The sequence below is a fragment of the Homo sapiens genome, chromosome 14, assembly GCF_000001405.40.
Source record: "Homo sapiens chromosome 14, GRCh38.p14 Primary Assembly".
NCBI classification, from domain to species: domain Eukaryota; kingdom Metazoa; phylum Chordata; class Mammalia; order Primates; family Hominidae; genus Homo; species Homo sapiens.
In genome coordinates, this window is record NC_000014.9 from 105,420,792 (window position 1) to 105,440,423 (window position 19,632).

Genomic DNA, 19,632 nt, shown 5'->3' on the forward strand with positions numbered 1-19,632 from the left:
CCTTGCCCTCCTTCGTGTGCCTGGGACTCCGTGGGGTCTTTCACAGGAAGGTGGGGGGTCGTGTGCATTCCATCATTCCATCAGCGCCTCCCTCCCCAGGACTCTGAGACCCCTCCCTGCCTGTGACCCTCTCGGGCAGGTGCTCATTACCTTTCCCACCTGCAGCCTGCGCTGCTGGAGGGAGCTGGGGTCACTCCCGCTCTGGCTTGATCCCCATGCCCCTGACCCCGAGTGCCCAGAACACTCTGTGTCTCTCGAGCGTGGCTTCTGCTGCCTTGGACGCCGTGTGGTCTGGCCGGCCAGTCCTGTGACCTTGGGGACGGTGGGAGCCCCCTACATCCCGTCTGTGAGATGGGCGGTCAGTCCGCATCAGCAGCTCTGGGCCTCCCCTGTCCTCTCAGAGGGGCGGTGGGCCTGTACCCCATCCAGCGGCAGCCCCTCCCACAGCCTCATACAGCTTTGCCAGGTCCCTGTGTGGACCCAGGTGCGCTGAGCCCACCCCACGCTCAGGGAGCAGCCTGGGTGCGGGGTCCCTCGAGGGAGGGGCCTGTTCCTTCCTGTTCTTTCTCCCCACCTGGAGACCCCCCTTCCAGCCTGACATGAGGGCCCAGTTTCTCACCCTGGCAGAGAGGATGCCTGCTGCCTGGGCTCCAGCCGGGCCCACTGCGCATGGTTTTGGGATTGGTCCCAAGAAGAGCTCTCCCTGCCCCCACCCATGTTGGGGGTGGGGAGTGGTGGCAGCTTTGGGCTCTAGGGCTGGGGACACCCCGACCCCAACTCATGCCTTCCTAGTGGCTGCATTGCTCGGCCTTCAGGCCTGCCTGCCTGTGATCTTGGCGCCAGCCTGGCTGCCCCCCCTCCAACCTTCCCATGCCTCGGTTTCCCCATGGTGTGGGTGAGGACCTCGTCTCTCAGCCGTCCTTTTGTGCCCTGTGGCAGCTGTGCTGTGGCTGATGAAAGCCAGGACCCTGCCTTGTCCCATCCCGGAGGTGCAGCTCCCCTGGGCCCCACACAGGCTTGGGAGGAGCCCTTCGTGGGGCTGCGCCGCCCTCCCCGAACCCTCTGTCCCCCTGTGCCCGCAGGCCCGTCCCAGGGCCTCACTGACCCACGCACTCCAGTGCTGTGAGGGTGGGTGGCCTGGACTCCTAGGCTGTGGCGGAGGGGCCCCACCATGCCTGGCAGAGATGCTGCTGGTCTCTTTTCCTGTGATGAGGAGCATGGGAGGTTGGGTGCTGTCTGCTGGCAGCACAGCCACGCGTGGGATCCAGACTGCTTCTGCGTGTGCAGTCCGTGGTCACTGTGGCCGGGTGTGCTCGGAGCTGTCAGGCCCCCCACGTGCCCGCCCCGAGGACTTCCTCTCCCTGCAGGTGAGACTGTAGGCCTCCCCCTCTCTACTCTGACTGTCCCTATAGGAGAAGCGGCATTTATCCCTGGCTTCTGGACCGGAACCCTGGGTTCCGGCAGGACCCCGGCAGAGCCCTGTGGTCGCAGTGGGCTGGGCATTGCAGGTTGGCTTCCTGTCTTGGTGCTCGCTCGGGGAGGTGGGCGTCTGGATTCTTGAGCCCCCAGACAAGAAAGAGGAAGGTGTGCAGTGTCTCCTGAGCAGCCTTTGTCCGTCTGTCGCCGGCTGCCTGGCACGGGCTCCATCTGGGTGGCCAGTCCTGGCCTGTGGGAGATGCCGGCAGGGACCCAGCCTGGGAAGGGGCTTGCTCCTGTGCCCCCCCACCCCAGGGACCTTGTGTGTAGAGGCACCAAATTTAGTTAAGAAAAGTACAGGACGCCCAGGCAAATTTGAGTTTCAGATAAACAGAAATTTATTAGTGTAAGTATGTCCCAAATATGGCATGGGACATACTTGTCCCAGAAGATTCTTATCTGACATTCACAGTTATCTGGGCAACCCGTATTTTAGCTGGCAGGCTACTCCGAGGCCCTGCCAGGTTGGGCTAGGCAGGGTGAAGGTGTGGTGGCAGTATTTTTGTGCCAGCTGAGCTGGGTGAAGTGGTGAGCAGGGAGGGAACAGGGCCTGTTTCTTCCCCATGGAGTGCCCTGGCCACGGACAGAGGCCTTCTGTCTGTGCCTGTGAGGGCAGCGGATGGCCTGGGCAAGGGTGGCGGGGTCAGGGTTCCCTGACCTCTGCTTCTCAAGGGTTGTCCATCCCGAGGGCTGGGGAAGGCTTGAAACCTGCTGTGGGATGAGAGGGCCCCAGGGCAACGGCGGGATGTTTCTTCTCTGGGTTGAACATGAAGATGTTAGATAGCATCCAAAACAGGACAGCAGGAATCGGTGCCTGCCAGCCGCCTGCAGCTTGCTCATGTGGGGCTTCTGCTTTTCAGTGGACAGGCCATTACCATTTTGCCTTGGGTGTTTCTGTTTTTCATTGCAAGAGGTTAACACCCCATCTTTTGGATTTTTTTTGTTTAATTTTTTTTTTTTTTTTTTTTTTGAGATGGAGTCTTGCTCTGTGGCCCAAGCTGGAGTGCAGAGGCGCGATTTCGGCTCACTGCAACCTCCGCCTCCCCGGCCCAAGCGATTTCCTGCCTCAGCCTCCCAAGTAGCTGGGACTAGCCAGGCGCCACCAGGCCTGGTTAAGTTTTACATTTTTAGTAGAGACGGCGTTTCTCCATGTTGGTCAGGCTGGTCTGGAACTCCTGACCTCAAGTGATCCACCCGCTTCGGCCTCCGAAAGTGCTGGGATTACAGGCGTGAGCTCATGCCCGGCCTTTTTGTTTTAATTTTAATAAAAGTTGAGGCTGGGTGACAGAGTGAGACTCCGTATCAAAAAAAAAAAATTTTAATGTAGTTTGAAAGGATGCCAGAAAGCCCCTGCCCCTGCAGGGCCGCGGGCTCTGCCCCGGTCTCTGGCGCAGCCTGGGCGGAAGCACCCTGTCCGTGCTGCTGGTCTTCACTGGGCTTGGCATGTGCCATCATCTGCGCTCTGGCGCGCTGTTAGAAATGTTGCTTTTGTATTTTTATTCTAGTGTTTTTTTGAAGTTTAAACTTTATTGCTCTATATACTTGCCAGTGGGGAAAAAAGTAAACTTAAAAAAAATGTCAGATTTGTAGAGGGCTGCAGCCAGCGCCGCCCTACCCTGGAGTGCTGAGTGCACCGTGTCCCTAGGCACTTGCTGCTCCATGGGCCGACTTTTGGGGTCCCACCCATCTTTTCCAAGAAGGCAGGGAAGAGCCCTGGAGACACGGCCGTCCTGTGAGCACCAGGAGCGGGAGTGGTAGAAGTGGCAGGGGCCCAGGTGTGATGTCCTGGAGGGGATGGCATGGGGCTGTCCCACTTGGCCTGTGAGGATCGGCCTCAGCACTGCGCCATTGGCAGCCCTGGCTCACTCTCCAGGCAGGATGGGCCACTGAGCTTCTCCTGCCTCAGCCACTGAGCACTCCTGGCTTGCTCCACCTTTGTTTTTTTGAGACGGAGTCTCGCTCTGTCCCCCAGGCTGGAGTGCAGTAGCGCAATCTGGGCTCACTGCAAGTCCGCCTCCCGGGTTCACACCATTCTCCTGCCTCAGCCTCCCAAGTAGCTGGGACTACAGGCGCCCGCCACCATGCCTGGCTAATGTTTTGTAATTTTTTTTTTTTTGTAGAGACGGGGTTTCACTGTGTTAGCCAGTATGGTCTCGATCTCCTGACCTTGTGACCCACCCGCCTCAGCCTCTCAAAGTATTGGGATTACAGGCGTGAGCCACTGCGTCTGGCTTTTTTTTTTGTTTTTGAGACAGTCTCACTCTGTCACCCAGGCTGGAGTGCAGTGGCACAATCGCGGCTCACTGCAACCTCCGCCTCCTGGGTTCTAGTGATTTGCCTGCCTCAGCCCCCTGAGTAGCTGGGATTACAGGTGTGCACCACCACACCTGGCTAGTTTTTGTGTTTTTAGTAGAGACAGGGTTTCACCATCTAGGCCAGGCTGGTCTCGAACTCCTGACCTCAAGTGATCCACCCGCCTCGGCCTCCCAAAGTGCTGGGATTACAGGCGTGAGCCACGGTGCCTGGCCCCATATTGTTCTGAGTGGAGAATTTGATCGTTAAGCTCTCAGAATAATAAAAAAGTAGCTGTCAGTGAGAGATGTTGGAATATATGGTCCAATGAAGCACATCCCTCGCGCCCGACCCGCCCTGGCAGTGCCGTTCCCGCCCGTGTGTGTGGGTTCTGGGTGTCAAAACTGCTGCAGTGGCCCTGCAGGCATCCTACCTAGAGGTGGGTCCCCAGCTGCGCATCTGGACGCTGGTCAGCAGGTGAGGCTGGGATGCCAGAGGAGGTGCCGTGTGCCTGGCCAGGTACCCGGGAGGCGGCTTGGGGGAGCACTGGCTGCAGGGCCTCCTTCCTCCTCCTGCTGAACTTGGAGTGCTCTTGCCAGATTATGGGCTGAGTCCTGCTAGGGAGGGTGGCCCCCCTTCCCCAGGAGGAGCCCACCCTGAGACCTGGTTGGGGGGCAGCTTAGACCCTACCTTAGACTCCAGCAGGCTGTCTTGGGAGCATGTAATTATGTTTTTTTTGAGACAGGGTCTCCTGTTGCCCAGGCTGGAGTGCAGTGGCACCATCACAGCTACTGCAGCCTCCACCCCACAGGCTCAGGCGATCCTCCCATCTCAGCTTCCTGAGTAGCTGAGACCACAGGTGCACACCACCATACCCAGCTAATTTTAAGATTTTTTATAGAGGCGGAGTCTCACTATGTTGCCCAGGCTGGTCTCGAACTCCCGTCCTCAAGCGATCCTCTTGCCTTGGGCTCCCAAAGTGCCGCTGGGTTTGCAAGGCTGTGAACTACCATGCCCGGCAGAGCATTTAATATTCTCCAAATGTCTTTCCTCGTGTGCTACCTGGGCTCACTGCTTTCTGGGGCTCTCGTGTTGCTGGTGTCTCCACCCCCACCCCCACCCCAGCTGGCCTGCTCCATTCCTGTCCCGGTGGGCTCATGTCTGAGTGTGCGGACTGGGGGATCTTGGTGGCGATGGAGCCAAGCCCAGGGAGGCTGGGGCCACCCTCATAGTGCAAGGCCACCCAGCACCTCGCCCCTATACCCCACCCGCCCCACCAATGTGCCCCCGGCACCCCCGAGCCCAGGCCCCAAGGCTTGCTTCTATGGGCTTTGCACCACCCTCTAGGCTGCTCCCGCCTGGGCCATGCAGCGCACCTGAGGGGTCTGAGGTGACCGCTCCTCAGAGCCGCCCGGCAGCCTCCCTGGGGCGGGCCTCAGCACTGCAGCCCCGTGATCCGGCCTGGCGTGGGCTTTGCTGCTTTCTCTGCCCGGTGGCCTGAGGAGCTCGAGTGCCCGCCTGCCCCCAGAGCCCTTTCACGGTCAGGGCCTGAGCTCTGTGGGTGCCATTAGGAGGAGGGTCTGCAGATCTGTGCGGTTGGGGGACCCCTGGGGCATGGAGGGGACCACGCGTCCCTTCCCGTCCGTGCCCTGCCAGGCTGTCCTCACAGCAGCGTCGTCACAGGGGAGGAAACCAGGGCAGCGGCAGCGGCTCCTGGTACCAAGCATACCTTAAAAATGAGCCCATGGATGTTGCAGTGAGCCGAGATCACGCCACTGCACTCCAGCCTGGGTGACAGAGCGAGACTTCGTCTCACAAAAAAAAAAAAAAAAAAAAAGAGCCTCAAGGCCTGTGCAGTTGGTCAGCGGTGGAGTCAGGTATGGGGCACACCTGATTCTGCCCTGGCTCATCCCCTGCCTTCAGAGGACAGCAAGGGCGCAGCGCACGTGGGGGCTGGCCCTGAGGTGTGGCGTTCTCTGGGCTGGGCTAGGGCAGTTCTGAGGGAGGGGCGTGTTCTGTCCCATTCCTCCAGGAGACACAGTGCCTGGGCCATCTGGCCACTTGCATGAGGGAACGTCTGTCTGCATCCCCTGGGGGCCGCTGTCCCCATCCCTTGACTGCCGGATGCACCTCGGATGCTGGGGCTCTGGTCTCCGATCCTTCTTGGACTTTGTGGGGACAGCAACGGAGGAGGATGACCCCAAGGATGGGCCGGGCGCGAGGCTTGCAGCAGTGCCCAGGTTTTGCAGATAAAAATACAGGACACCCCTGCAGCATTTGGGACGTTGTCACATGGAGACCCGGCTCCTGGAGCAGGGGTGCTGGGGGCTTTCCTGACCACTGTTGCTGTTTCTCTTGACTCTGTTCCCAAAAGGGAAAAGACAAAGTTCCTCTCTGTGCTCCCTGGTCTCCTGTCTCTGACCATGGCAGACCTGGCTGTGGGTGAGCTCAGGAGAGTGGGCTGTGCCCTGGAGGGTCCCGGACAGGCAGGGACCACGGGCACCGCCCTGCCGCACAGCTCTTGTTGCTCAATGATCTTGGGGGTTGTGTCTGTTCTCCCCCAATTCTTCTGTGGCCCCATCCCCTATTTGTTAAAACTTACGTGTAACCCCAAAATTCACACTTATGTCACTTTCCCAGTCATTTGCGGGCACGCACAGGCTGCTAAAAGCCCAAGTTGCGTGGTGCTTGGGTGCCTGCTGGGGTGAGCGAGGCACCCTGCCCTCTGCCACTGCTCCCATGTTGGAAGCAAATTGTCCTTTCTCCATCTACTGAGGGCCATGCTTCTTGCATTTGGGGGCTCTTGGTGATTTTGCTTTTTAGATGCCCCTGGGGGAGGTGCCGCAGTGCTGTTGAGTGTCCCTGGACACAGGCAGGCTGGGATGGGTCCCATGGAGAGAACGTGTGTTGGACAGGCTCTGCCCCACGTGAGTTCAGTGTCGGAGAACAATAATAATTATAAAGTTCTTTGACAGAAACGTAAAATAAGGCTGTTGCGTATTGATTGGTTGCTGAAAATGTTGTGACCAGAGGCTCGTAGGAACCTGACCCTGTATTTCCTGTAGGAACAGAGGTACGGTGTTCAGTATTAGTGGTGACTTTATGGAACGTAATTACTGCAAACAATGAGAATTGACTCTGGGTGCGTGTATATTTTTTTAACTTAAAGTAAGGTTTAGGCCGGGCATGGTGGCTCACACCTGTAATCCCAACACTTTGGGAGGCTGAGGTGGGCAGATCACTTGAGCTCAGGAGTTTGAGACCAACCTGACCACACAGCAAAACCCCATCTCTACTAAAAATACAAAAAAAGCCAGGCGTGGTGGTGCGTGCCTGTAATCCTAGCTACTTGGGAGGCCGAGGCATGAGAATCACTTGCGTGCAGGACGCAGAGGTTGCAGTGAGTGGAGATCGCACCACTGTACCCCAGCCTGGGCAACAGAGTGAGACTCTCTCAAAAAAAAAAAAAAAAAAAGTTAGGTTTATTGAGATACACGTTTCACATGGCAAACCCACTTATGTGTAGGGGCCTGTGGTTTTCCACTCATGCACAGCTGTGTGGTCGCTGCAGCTCTTCCACACCTGACATGCTTCTCTTGTGACCTTCTGTAGTCAGCCCCCTCTTCTCCCCCAGCTCCCAGCAACACTGACCTATTTTCTGTTCCTGCCGTTTTGCCTTGTCCAGAATGTGGTAGAAGTGGAATTGCACAGCATGTGGGCTTTTGAGTCTGGCGTCTTTCTTTTTTTTTGAGATAAGGTCTCAGTCTGTCACCCAGGTTGGAGTGCAGTGGTACAGCCATGACTCACTGCAGCCTCCACCTCCCAGGCTCAAGTGATCCTTCCACCTCAGCCTCCTGAACAGCCGGGACCACAGGTGTGCACCACCACACCCAGCTAAGTTTTTCGTTATGTTGTCTAGGCTGGTCTCGAACTCCTGGGCTCAAGCGATCCTCCCACTTCGGACTCCCATAGTGCTGAGGTAACAGGAGTGAGCCACCATGCCCAGCCTTATAGTAATTCTTGAAATCAAGTAGTAGGAATCCTTGAACTTTGTTCCTCATTTTCAAAATTGTTTAGCCTGTTCTGGTTACTTGGCTTTCCCTTACAGAGTTTAGAATTGGCTTGTTAATTTCTACAGAAACCAAAAAGAAGTGTTTCTTTTTTTTTTTTCTTTTTTTGAGACAACATCTTGCTCTGTTGCCCAGGCTGGAGTGCAGTGGTATGATCTTGGCTCACTGTATGTAGCCTCAGTCTCTTGGGCTCAAGTGATCCTCCCCACTTCAGCCTCCCGAGTAGCTAGGACTACAGGCATACGCCACCATGCCTGGCTAGTTTTATTTATTTTTGTAGAGATGGGGTCTCACTATGTTGCCCACACTAGTCTCAAACCCCTGGCCTCAAGTGATCCTCCTGCCTTGACTCCCAAAATGCTGGGATTACAGGCATGAGCCATTGTGCCCAGCCTCACCTTGCACTTTTATGTGGTAGAAATGGCTTCTTTCCTTGAACTTCATGGGCCAACTTCTGCTAGCTTCAGATTTTTCTTCTGCAGCCTCCTCACCTCCCTCAGCCTTCGTAGAACTGAAGGGAGTTAGGGCCTCGCTCAGGCTGGGGCTCTGGCTTCGGGGAATGTGTCCGCTTTGATTTCCCATCCCGGCACTTCAGCTTTCTCTCTATCAGTACTAAGGCCGTTCAGCTGTCTTATCAGGCTTGTGTTCACTGGAGCAGCACTTTTTGTTTTTTGGAGATGAAGTCTTGCTCTGTCGCCCAGGCTGGAGTGCGGTGGCACGATCTCGGCTCGCTGCAACCTCCGCCTCCCGGGTTCAAGCGATTCTCCTGCCTCAGCCTCCCAAGTGGCTGGGACTACAGGCACCCACCACCACACCCGGCTAATTTTTTTTTTTTTTTTTGAGACAGAGTCTCCCTCTGTCACCCAGGCTGGAGTGCAGTGGCACGATCTCGGCTCACTGCAAGCTCCGCCTCCCAGGTTCACGCCATTCTCTTGCCTCAGCCTCCCGAGTAGCTGGGACTACAGGTGCCCGCCACTATGCCCGGCTAATTTTTTGTATTTTTTTAGTAGAGACGGGGTTTCACCATGTTAGCCAGGATGGCCTCAATCTCCTGACCTTGTGATCCACCTGCCTCAGCCTCCCGAAGTGCTGGGATTACAGACGTGAGCCACTGCGCCCGGCCTTTTTTTTTTTTTTTTTTTTTGGTGACCAAGTCTCGCTCTGTCATTCAGGCTGGAGTGCAGTGGTGCGATCTTGGCTCACTGCCACCTCCAGCTCTCGGGTTCAAGTGATTCTCCCACCTCAGCCTCCCGAGTAGCTGGGATTACAGGCACACACCACCATGCCTGGCTAATTTTTTTATTTTTAGTAGAGATGGGGTTTCACCATGTTGGCCAGGCTGGTCTCAAACTCCTGACCTCAAGTGATCCACCTGCTTTGGCCTCCCAAAGTGCTGGGAATACAGGTGTGAGCCACTGCGCCCGACCCACTTTTAGTTTCTTTCAGGAACTTTTCCTCTGCATTCACAACTGGGCTACCTGCTTGGCGCTGAAGACCAGGCTTTCCGTTAGGGTATCTTGGCTTTCGACAGGCCTTCCTAACTAAGCTTAGTCATTTATTTCCAGCTTTTGTTTTAAAGTGAGAGATGTGTGACCCTCAACTCTTCCCTTCACTGGACTACTTAGAGGCCATGGCAGGGTTGCTAGTTGGCCCAATTTCAGTATTGTTGTGTCTCAGGGAATAGAGAGGCCCCAGGAGAGGGAGAGAAATGGAGGAATGGCCAGTTCCTGGGGCAGTCGGAACACACACATTTATCAATTAAGTTCTTAGTTGGGGTATGGCTCATGATGCCCAAAACAATTACAATAGTAGCATCGAGGAGCAATGACCACAGATCGCCATCACAGATAGAATCATGGTTAAAAAGTTGGAAATGTTGAGAGAATTACCAAAACGTGACAGCAACACGTAGTGAGCACCTGCTGTTGGAAAAATGGCACCGATGGACTTGACTTGATGCACGTTGCCACAAACCTTCAATTTGTAAGAAACACAATACCTGCAAAGCATCATCAAGCTAAGCATGATGCCCGTGTAGATGTTTGGGAAATAATTGGCATCTAAACCAATCTTGGGTCCTCTCGTACAGGGATTGGCAAACTGGCCCGCTGCCTGTTTTTGATGACTCACGAGCTAAGAATGGGTTTTACATTTTTTAATTGTTGAGAAAAAAATCAAAGGCAGAAAACTTCATGACACATGAAGATTATATGAAATTCACATTTCAGTGCTCAGAAATAAAGTGTTATGGGAACACGGCCGCACTAATGGGAGGGATTCCAGTTATTATGTGGCTGCTTTGAGCTACCGTGGTGGGGTTGAATATTTGTGATAGGGACAGGAAAAACTTAACTTTTTCCCAGTCTCACACGTTCAACACAGAACACTTCACCTCTGGTCCCTGGAATGTGTGTGGGGTTTCTCCCTACCAGCAGCCAGTCGGTTATCCAGTGATTTAACCCAATTTTGACACTGCTTACCTGGAGAGAATATTAGGTTCTGCAGCTGAAGGGCTGAGTCCCACAAGACTGTCCTCACTTCTCCTGCCTCAGCCTCCCGAGTAGCTGGGATTACAGGCGCCCACCACCACGCACAGTTAATTTTTGTATTTTTAGTAGAGACCAGGTTTCACCATATTGGCCAGGCTGGTCTCAAACTCCTGACCTCAGGTGATCCACCCACCTTGGCCTCCCAAACTGCTGGGATTTACAGGCATGAGCCACTGTGCCCAGCCTACAAGCTGGTTATTAACAAGACCAATAAACTGAAATCTATAGCCAGACTGACAAAGAAATAGAAGCCACAAGTAACCAACATCAGGAACAACAGATGGGACATCACTACAGATCCTACTGACACGAGAAATGTGTGGCACAGAAAAGGGCTTGGTTGGACAAATTTACAAGGGTTGTTAAACATACAAAGTGCCAAAAGCCTATAGTTATTCATTCTATTACTTGTTGGCAGGTAAATATTTTGTGGAAAGTATTTGTTTATTTTTATTTTTACTTTTTGAGGTGGAGTCTCGCCCTGTTGCCCAGGCAGCAGTGCAGTGGCGCAGTCTCGGCTCACTACAACCTCTGCCTCCCGGGCCCGAGTGATTCTCCTGCTTCAGCCTCCCAAGTAGCTGGGACTAAAGGCATGCACCACCACACCTGGCTATTTTTTGTATCTTTAGTAGAGATGGGGTTTCACCATGTTGGGCAGGCTGGTCTCAAACTCCTGACCTCAGGTGATCCGCCCACCTCAGCCTCCCAAAGTGCTGGGATTACAGGCGTGAGGCACTACACCCGGCCTGTGGAAAGTATTTGAGTCTGTCATGCCTTATTGAACCAGTAGTGTCAACAGTGAACTTCATTTGACCTTGTGGACTTGATGTCATCAGTTCTGTGAATTAAAAAAAAACCTTTTTTAAAGAGATAGAGTCTTGCTTTATTGCCCAGGCTAGAGAGCAGTGGCACAGTCCTGGCCCACTGCAGCCTCAATTTCCTGGGCTCAGGTGTGAGCCCCTGTGCCTGGCCTAAAGCTGAACATCTTGACTTGCTGTCCTGTGCAGCAGCTTGATGAGTTGGCAGTGGTGAAGTTCTATTGCTTTTTTATTTTTATTTTTTATTTATTTATTTATTTTTGAGACGGAGTCTTGCTCTGTCACCCAGGCTGGAGTGCAGTGGCGTGATCTCGGCTCACCGCAACCTCTGCCTCCTGGGTTCAAGCAATTATCCTGCCTCAGCCTCCCAAGTAGCTGGGATTACAGGCACATGCCACCATGCCCGGCTAATTTTTGTATTTTTAGTGGAGATGAGGTTTCACCATGTTGGCCAGGCTGGTCTCAAACTCCTGACCTCATGATCCACCTGCCTCGGCCTCCCAAAGTGCTGGGATTACAGGCGTGAGCCACCGTGTCTGGCCTGCTTTTTGAAAAAGCGCCGAAATTGGAAAATTTCAGAATGAGAAGAACCACTGTTGACTGCCATCATCAATACACCAGATGACTTGGGAAACTAGTTTTTGCTGCATGATGTTCTCTACGTTCTTTATGAATTCATCTTAAAGTTACGAGGCACAACCACATTTATTTGCAAAATTTATACTGTGATGAAGTCACTTTGGCAACAGCTCATGTTTAAATCACAAACTGCTTTGTACAGTTTTCTTATTGTCAAGAGGTAAAATGAGAGGCAAAGTCTGCATTGCCACACAGATTTGCAGTGAGCTGCTTTTCTGGGCTCACACTGTGGTTACAGCAGAGTGTCTGCGACTTCCATGCGAGTGCAAGGGAAACGTCGACATTTCAAAATCCACTCAGCTGTGTGTTAGGGAGCTCCCGCCTGAGCTTCAGTCGAAAGCGATTGGACTGTAGCGTAACCCCGTGCTGTAATATAGGGGCCCCAAGACCACCCTCGGGTTCAGTAATTCACTAGGACTCATGGAATACAGCAGAGCATTTCTGCCAGGGGTACGGTTGATTACAGCAAAAGGACGCAGACTCAAATCAGCAAAGGGAAGCGGCACAGGGGCCGGGCTCAGGAGAGACCAGGGGTGGGCTTCCGGCGTCTCTCCCAGCAGAGACGTGGGCGGTGTGTAGGTCTAGCAGTGGTCTGTGATGACAGGCCTGGCGTATTTCCAAGCAGGGACGCTCCCGTGAGCCTTGGTGGTCCAGGTGTTTTTAGAGGTTGGTCAGGTGGGCCTGGCTGAGCACCGGTGTGGCTGCCCTCGGTCCCTCCGTCTCAGCCCCTCCAGAGGTCAGGCTGATGCCACAAGGCACCGCGGTACGTCACTGTCAGGGTAGCCTCTCTGAGGTGGCCTGAGGCCCTGGGTGAGCAGACGCTGTTGGCAGGCAGGATGCTCCAAGAGCTCCGAGGTGACCTCCTAGGAGCAGGTCAAGGGTCAGACCTCTCTGGAAGGAAGAATGCGGGCAATCCAAGCCTGCTGAGCTGGCCCTTTCCAGGAAAGGGAGTAGCGAGGCTGCTCACTTAGAGCCACGCACCTGGGGCTGACAGTGTGCCTGGCAGTACCTGTGTGGAAAGACAGTTACAGAGGAAACACATGAACTCACTATAAGCCAGCACTAATGGATGCACCTTTGTTGTTGATTTTGGTGATAAAGAACATTAAATTTGAACCCAGTGAAGCAATATGTCATCTCCCAAAACAAGTCCTCTCATGAGTGCATCTGTATTATAGAAAGCTGCACTCAGCTTTTTAAAAAAATTTTTTTAGATGGGGTCTTGCTCTGTCACCAGGCTGGAGTGCAGTGGCACAATCTCGGCTCACTGCAAGCTCCGCCTCCCAGGTTCAAGCGATTCCCCTGCCTCAGCCTCCCACGTAGCTGGGACTACAGGTGCGTGCCACCACACCTGGCTAATTTTTTGTATTTCAGTAGAGACAGGCTTTCACCATGTTGGCCAGGATGGTCTCGATCTCCTGAAGTGATCTGCCCGCCTCCTGAAGTGCTGGCATTACAGGTGTGAGCCACTGCGCCTGGCCCAGTTATTTTGATTTCATCAGTATGAAATGTGTAGAAATTGTTACATTAGTCCCTATGTAATATCCTTGGTGTGGCCTCTTGGCCTGCACAGCCTGGAGTATTGACTATCTGGACCTTTATAGGAAGCTCACCAACATGTATTTTAACCCTTGACACCTTATCTGTTACCATTTATTTAGATCTTTGCTGATTTTTCTCACCAGTGTTTTGTACTTTTCAGCATGTAGATCTTTGCACAGATCTTTTGATCTTTAAACATCTATAGATCTTTTGTAAAATTTATATTGTAAGTATTTAATTTTTCTTGGTGCTCTTGTGAATAGTACTTTTACAATTTTGATTTCCATTTGTTAGTAGTACGTAGAAAGAGGACTTTTTTTTTTTTTTTTTTTTTGAGACAGAGTTTCACTCTTGTTACCCAGGCTGGAGTGCAGTGAATGGCGTGATCTCAGCTCACCGCAACCTCCGCCTCCCGGGTTCAAGCGATTGTCCTGCCTCAGCCTCCTGAGTAGCTGGGATTACGGGCATACACCACCACACCCAGCTATTTTTTTTGTATTTTTAGTGGAGATGGGGTAGCTCCATATTGGTCAGGCTGGTCTTGAACTCCCAACCTCAGGTGATCCGCCCGCCTCAGCCTCCCAAAGTGCTGGGATTACAGGCGTGAGCCACCATGCCCAGCCCAAAAGAGGACTTATTTTTATATATTGACCTGTGACCTTGCAAAACTCTTACTCAGCAGTTTCAATAGCTTTTTTTGTAGACTCTGGGGATTTCTATATAGAAAGTCACATCATCTGCGTATAGAAAGTTTTATTTCTTCATATCCAGTCTGTGTGCCTTTCATTGATTTTTCTTCCCATTGTACTGGCTGGGACTTCCTCGATGGTCAGCAGTAGTGGTGAGAGTAGCTATACCCTTGGCACATCCCTGATCTCAGCAGAAGCAGCCCTTTTCTCACCACTGAGGATGATGCTAGCTGTAGGTTTTTTGTAAATGTATTACCAGGCTGAGGAAGTACCCTTTAGTTCCTTGTTTGCTCAGAGTTTAATAGCGTATGTGTTGGATTTTTTCAGATTATATTCTTGCATCTACGGAGATGGTCATAGGGCTTTTCTTACTTATTCTGTGAATATGATGAGCTACACTGGTTTTTGAATGTTTTTAAAAATTTAAGTTATATTTAGAGATGGCATCTCACTCTGTCACCCAGGCTTGAGTGCAGTGGTACCATCATGGCTCACTGCAGCCCCAAACTCCTGGGCTTAAGCGATCCTTCTGCCTTAGCCCCCAAGCAGCTGGGACTACAGGCACATGCTACCACACCTGCATAATTAAAAATAATTTTTTTTTAGAGATGGGGTCCTGTGATGTTGCCTAAGCTGGTCTCAAACTCCTGGACTGAAGCAATCCTCCTGATTTCTTGTGTGTCTTTGGTTTTGGTATCAGGGCAATGGCGTTCTCACTGTCAGCTGGGGAGTGTTCCCTCCTTTTCTGTTTTCTGGAAGAGTTGTGTAGAATTGGTGTTAATTTTTCCTTAAATGTTTGATAGACTTCACCAATGAAGCCATCTGGGCGCAGAGTTCTTGTTGTTGTATTTCCGTAGTATGGATAGGGTTACCTGTTTCTTCTTGAATGAGCTTTGGTGTTTATATCTTTCAAGCAATTGGTTCATTTCATTTAAGTTGTCAAGTTCTGTGGCATAAAGTCCTCCATAATACTCCTTACACCCCTTCTCGTGTCAGTAGGATCCGTAGTGATGTCCCATCTGTCGTTCCTGATGTTGGTTACTTGTGGCTTCTCTCTTTGTTTCTTTGTCAGTCTGGCTATAGATTTCAGTTTATTGATCTTGTTAATAACCAGCTTGTAGGCTGGGCATGGTGGCTCATGCCTGTAATCTCAGCACTTTGGGAGACTGAGGCAGGTGGATCACCTGAGGTCAGGAGTTTGAGACCAGCCTGGCCAACATGGTGAAACCCCGTCTCTACTAAAAATACAAAAATTAACTGGGCGTGGTGGTAGGCTCCTGTAATCCCAGCTACTCGGGAGGTTGAGGCAGAAGAATCACTTGAACCCGGGAGGCGGAGGTTGCAGTGAGCTGAGATCGCTCCATTGCACTCCATCCAGCCTGGGCAACAAGAGCGAAACTTCATCTCAAACAAGCAAACACTCAGCTTTTGGTTCCTCTGATATTTTCCCCTCTACTATTTTTGTTTCATGTTATTTTTACTCTATCATTTCCTGCCTTCTTGCTTTATTTGTCCGTTTATTAAGGCATAATTTACATTCAGTACAATTCCTTTTACGTGTACAGTTCCGTGAATTTTGGAAGTCCATAGTCATGTTGTTGTACCACAGTCATGATACAGAATAGTTCCCAAATTCCCAAATTCTCACGTCTTCCACATCTTGGTTTTCCTGCGCCAGCAGCTTGTAGGTGGCCCCACTGCACGCAGCCGTCGTGCCTGCCACCTCCCCCGAGAGGGCCTTCCGGTGCTGCAGACCCCGAGCTGCCAGGGGGCTTCACTCCTGGCCCCTGCCGAGGAGTCTTCCATCAAGTGGATGGACCCCAGCTTGTTTGTCTTTCCTCACTTAAGGGACATTTTTCCCCCATTTTTTGGCAAGTTTGATGCATTGTTTTGAATTTAATTTATTTGGTTTCTTGGAGTAAAAAGTTAGACCGTTGATTTGAGACCTTTTTTAAAAAAAAGTTTGAGATATCTACATGTGATGAAACCCACCAATTTTGAGTGTGTGATTCAGTGAATTCTAGCGTTTTCACAGCGTTGCACAAGCGTGGACACATCCTGCATTCAGAACACTCCTGTAGCCGTGACACAGACCCACAGGCCCCCTGTCACTTCTGCAGGCTTTTCTGCAGGGAACGCTCACTGCTGTGCGTGTCCCCCGGGCACCGTGGCTGTGTCCCCTCTGGGCTCTCCATGCTCCTAGCCCGTTGTCCTGTGGAGCTCTATGTGGGCGTAGCCTCATCTGATCAGCTGGTTTGCTCAGGCAGCACGGGGGGCTCAGGAGCTGCATGCACAGGTGTGACTTTGCACATGGGTGCCCAAACAGGTGCGTCCTCCCAGGTGTGCACCCACAGATGTGTCCTCACGGGCGTGTGCCTGCAGGTGTGTCCTCACGGGTGTGTCCTCATGGGCATGTGCCTGCAGGTGCGTCCTCATGGGCGTGTGCCTGCAGGTGCGTCCTCATGGGAGTGTCCTCATGGGTGTGTGGCTGCAGGTGCGTCCTCAGGGGTGTGTCCTCATGGGAGTGTCCTCATGGGCGTGTGACTGCAGGTGCATCCTCAGGGGTGTGTCCTCACGGGCATGAGCCTGCAGGTGCGTCCTCATGGGTGTGTCCTCACGGGCACGAGCCTGCAGGTGCGTCCTCACTGGCGTGTCCTCAGGGGCATGAGCCTGCAGGTGTGTGCCAGCAGCAGGAGGGAGATGCTCTCCAGGCCCCTCCACAGGGTCCTCGCGGCACGGGTTTGGCCTCCGTGTGGACAGATGGGCTGGGCTTCTTTGGTGCTGGTCTTGCTGTATTTTGCTGAATCCCAGGCCTGTGCGGGCCTCTGGGCTGATTCCAGCTGAGACAGGCCTCCTGCTCAGTCCCCCCTGCGGAGCTGATGCAGGGTGGGCTGGCGAGGGTGCTCGTGGTGCTGGTTCGTGAGGACATGGCCTCAGTGCCTCCCAAGCTGAGCCCCTGCGGTGGCCCCAGGAGGCCTGGAGCATCGGGGTGTCAGCACCACCAGCCTGGACTTCCCTGGGCCTTCCAGGGTAAGCCTCTGGGCTCCGGAAGGTTCCGTGGCTCTCTGTCTGTGGAGCTGGTGAGAAGGCTGGAGGGCCAGATGGTTTCATCGCTGAGGGAAGCGCTGTACTCACCTGATGGCCGATCTTGGGGCACTCCCAGTGCCTGCTGCCTGTTGCTGTCCCTGAGCTCTGGTGAGCTCTGGTATTCCTGTCATTCCTGGAGCAACTCTGTCCTGTTTTTGAGCCTGCCTGGGCCCAGGAAGCCCCAACTGTGTTCTCTGTGTAGTCACTGCTGTTGGTTTTGGAGGGAAAGATGGGGGCCGCTGTGGGCAGGGCTGGTGGCTGGTGGTGGCCACGTGGCTCTGGGGGTGTAGCATCCAGGCTGGCTGCTGCCAGTGGGAAGGTGTCCTGGGGCTCCCGGCAGGGTCTGGGCAGTGCTGGAGCTGGGCTTTGCCTGGGAAGCTGCCGCCTGGCCCCCACAGCTTCCCCAAGAAGGGCCTGAGCCCTTGGGGGCAGCTGGCGTCTGTGAGGATCCGGGATGGGGGCTGTCTGCTCCTGCTGGGAACGGCCCCTCCAGATGCATCTCCCTGTCCCTGACCCAGCCTGTCAGTCCATTTTGGTTGCAGCCACCCCTCCCTGATGGTGTGGGGGCTTCGCTTCCTCTGTTTATTCCTCGCCTGAGGGAGCAGAGGTGAGGGGATGACACTGCCCCGCCTGAGCCCCGAGTCCCTGGGCCACGGGAGGTGGGACTGGGTCTGGCCTTTGGTGCCACAGGTGGCACTCTCTCTGTTGCTGTTTGCAGACTACGTCTACTTTGAGAACTCCTCCAGCAACCCATACCTGATCCGGAGAATCGAGGAGCTCAACAAGGTACTGGGGGGCCCTGGTGTTGCTGCAGGGGGGTAGTGGGTGGGGGCTACGCCAGCTCCTGCCCTGTGGGTGGCCAGTGTGGGTGGCCCCCTTTCGGGGCTGATCTTGGACTGGCCACTGCACAGGCCCTTCAGTGACTCCGTCCACTGTCACCTGCACCGTGGCTCCTCCTTGGAGATACTGAGTGAGGGGCCTGGTGGCCTCATGCAGGACCCAGCGCAGCTGCCCTGAGCTGCCTGCCCACTCTACACTTGGTCTGTGGGTGCTGGGTCCCCTGAAGATGCCAGTGTCCCCTGGGGAGCCCGAGCGGAATGGTGTGATTCTGAAACCAACCAAAGGCTGCAGAAAGCCATACTCGGTGCCCCTGCCCTGCCCGAACCCTGGCAGCCAGCCCTGCAGGGCTGTGAGCTCTGCCCCCACCCCTGAGGTGTCTGCATGGCTGGAAGCACCCTCCCTGGTCACTCAGGCAGCCCTGCAGGGCTGTGAGCTCTGCCCCCAACCCTGAGGTGTCTGCGTGGCTGGAAGCGCCCTCCCTGGTCACTCAGGCAGCCCTTGCTCCCACCTGGTTTGTGTCTGCCATGAGTCCTTGGCAGTTGCTTGCTGTTTGGTCGGGGGACGTGGTTGTGCCCATGCATTGAGCCTGGCAGCACCAGATCCTTCCTGGGGGGTGGTGACACATGGGCCCCTCAGCCCCAGCCACTCCTGGCCTCCACTGCCTCGGCACAGCCTCCGTCCCATCAGCTCGGGAGACAGAGCCGTAGATGGCCATGGAGGTGTAGGGCGCCCGCACACCCTGGGAGCCTTCTCGCTGTCCTCAGGGGTGGTGGGTGGGTCCCCCAGCGTCCCTTCTCCTCCTCCTGGTTGGAGACTTTCTAAGGGTGTTGAGGGAGGGCAGGTTGTCCCCACCAGTGGACACATGGTTCCAGCAGAGAGTGGGGTGGGGTGCTGGGTGCTTCACAGACCTCTCTGTGCCTGCCTGCAGGGCTCCTGAGCCCCCGATCCCCTGGAGCCAGTGGCCCGATGGCTGCCTTCTCCTAGGAGCCCTGCCCACTCGGCAGGCCTGGGGCACTCGGGCCCTTGGTGTTCCATCTGGATGCTGCAGGCTCACCTGGGAGAAGCTGCCTTCCTGGACCTCAGGCTTGGTGGCAGCGGTGACGTGGGGTTCTTGGGATCAGAGGGGGCAGCGGGGGGAAGGTTAGCGCGCCACCTCTGACGTAGCCATGCTGGGCTCCGGGCTTCCCTGGCTGCGCTTGTCGAGGGCCATTCCCTGCGGTATCTGCCACCACCTGGGGCCGAGGAGCATGGGGTGCGACATCTGCTCCCCCGCAGCTTCCTGGGAGGTCTGAGGGCCAGGCCTGTTTGTTGGAGGCACAGGCAATGACCTGGGTGTCTTCTGAGTCTGCCTCACTGCCCCTGCTGGGCAGGGCCTGCCCGCCTGCAGAGCAAGGCCACTTGGGTACTGCCGGAATGGGGCGCCACTCCTGTGGCTGAGCCTCCTGAGTGCGGGGCAGCACTTTACGCATCCCAGCATGTGGACTGTAGGGAAACAGGTGCAGAGGGAGGTTCCTCAGCTGACGCTGAACCATGGCTGGGGGAGGTCCTGTGTCCCTCCTGGTCTGTGTAGTGGAGGGGCGGCCGGCAGATGGCACTGCTGGCCCCACACAGCCAGCTGGCAGGCAACCCG

The 19,632-nt window shown here is 54.5% G+C and overlaps 1 protein-coding gene across 14 annotated transcripts in view, besides 4 other annotated features; it reads left to right on the top strand.

Annotated features, from left to right (window-relative positions):
- The window catches only part of MTA1 (metastasis associated 1), a 50,903-nt gene that overhangs the window by 965 nt on the left and 30,306 nt on the right, over positions 1-19,632 (top strand). For 7 of the 14 annotated variants that reach the window (XM_011537305.1, XM_011537306.1, XM_011537307.1 and 4 more), the window contains exons 1-2: positions 1,157-1,367; positions 17,881-17,948. In XM_011537305.1, coding sequence (XP_011535607.1) covers positions 1,172-1,367; positions 17,881-17,948 — 264 coding nt within the window. In that variant the 5' untranslated portion in view covers positions 1,157-1,171. Of the gene's footprint in view, positions 1-1,156; positions 1,368-17,880; positions 17,949-19,632 lie in introns of those variants that run through there. The other 7 variants (XM_047431904.1, NM_004689.4, NM_001411061.1 and 4 more) reach the window with 1 other exon arrangement.
- Positions 581-1,248: an enhancer, noted in NCBI's record as "H3K27ac-H3K4me1 hESC enhancer chr14:105887709-105888376 (GRCh37/hg19 assembly coordinates)". NCBI's record gives its function as "activates a minimal SCP1, AML or CMV promoter by ChIP-STARR-seq in naive H9 embryonic stem cells {active_cell/tissue: H9 hESC(naive)}" and the evidence as "EXISTENCE:reporter gene assay evidence [ECO:0000049][PMID:30033119]".
- Positions 1,249-1,918: an enhancer, noted in NCBI's record as "H3K27ac-H3K4me1 hESC enhancer chr14:105888377-105889046 (GRCh37/hg19 assembly coordinates)". NCBI's record gives its function as "activates a minimal SCP1, AML or CMV promoter by ChIP-STARR-seq in naive H9 embryonic stem cells {active_cell/tissue: H9 hESC(naive)}" and the evidence as "EXISTENCE:reporter gene assay evidence [ECO:0000049][PMID:30033119]".
- Positions 16,014-16,611: an enhancer, noted in NCBI's record as "H3K4me1 hESC enhancer chr14:105903142-105903739 (GRCh37/hg19 assembly coordinates)". NCBI's record gives its function as "activates a minimal SCP1, AML or CMV promoter by ChIP-STARR-seq in primed H9 embryonic stem cells {active_cell/tissue: H9 hESC(primed)}" and the evidence as "EXISTENCE:reporter gene assay evidence [ECO:0000049][PMID:30033119]".
- Positions 16,612-17,208: an enhancer, noted in NCBI's record as "H3K4me1 hESC enhancer chr14:105903740-105904336 (GRCh37/hg19 assembly coordinates)". NCBI's record gives its function as "activates a minimal SCP1, AML or CMV promoter by ChIP-STARR-seq in primed H9 embryonic stem cells {active_cell/tissue: H9 hESC(primed)}" and the evidence as "EXISTENCE:reporter gene assay evidence [ECO:0000049][PMID:30033119]".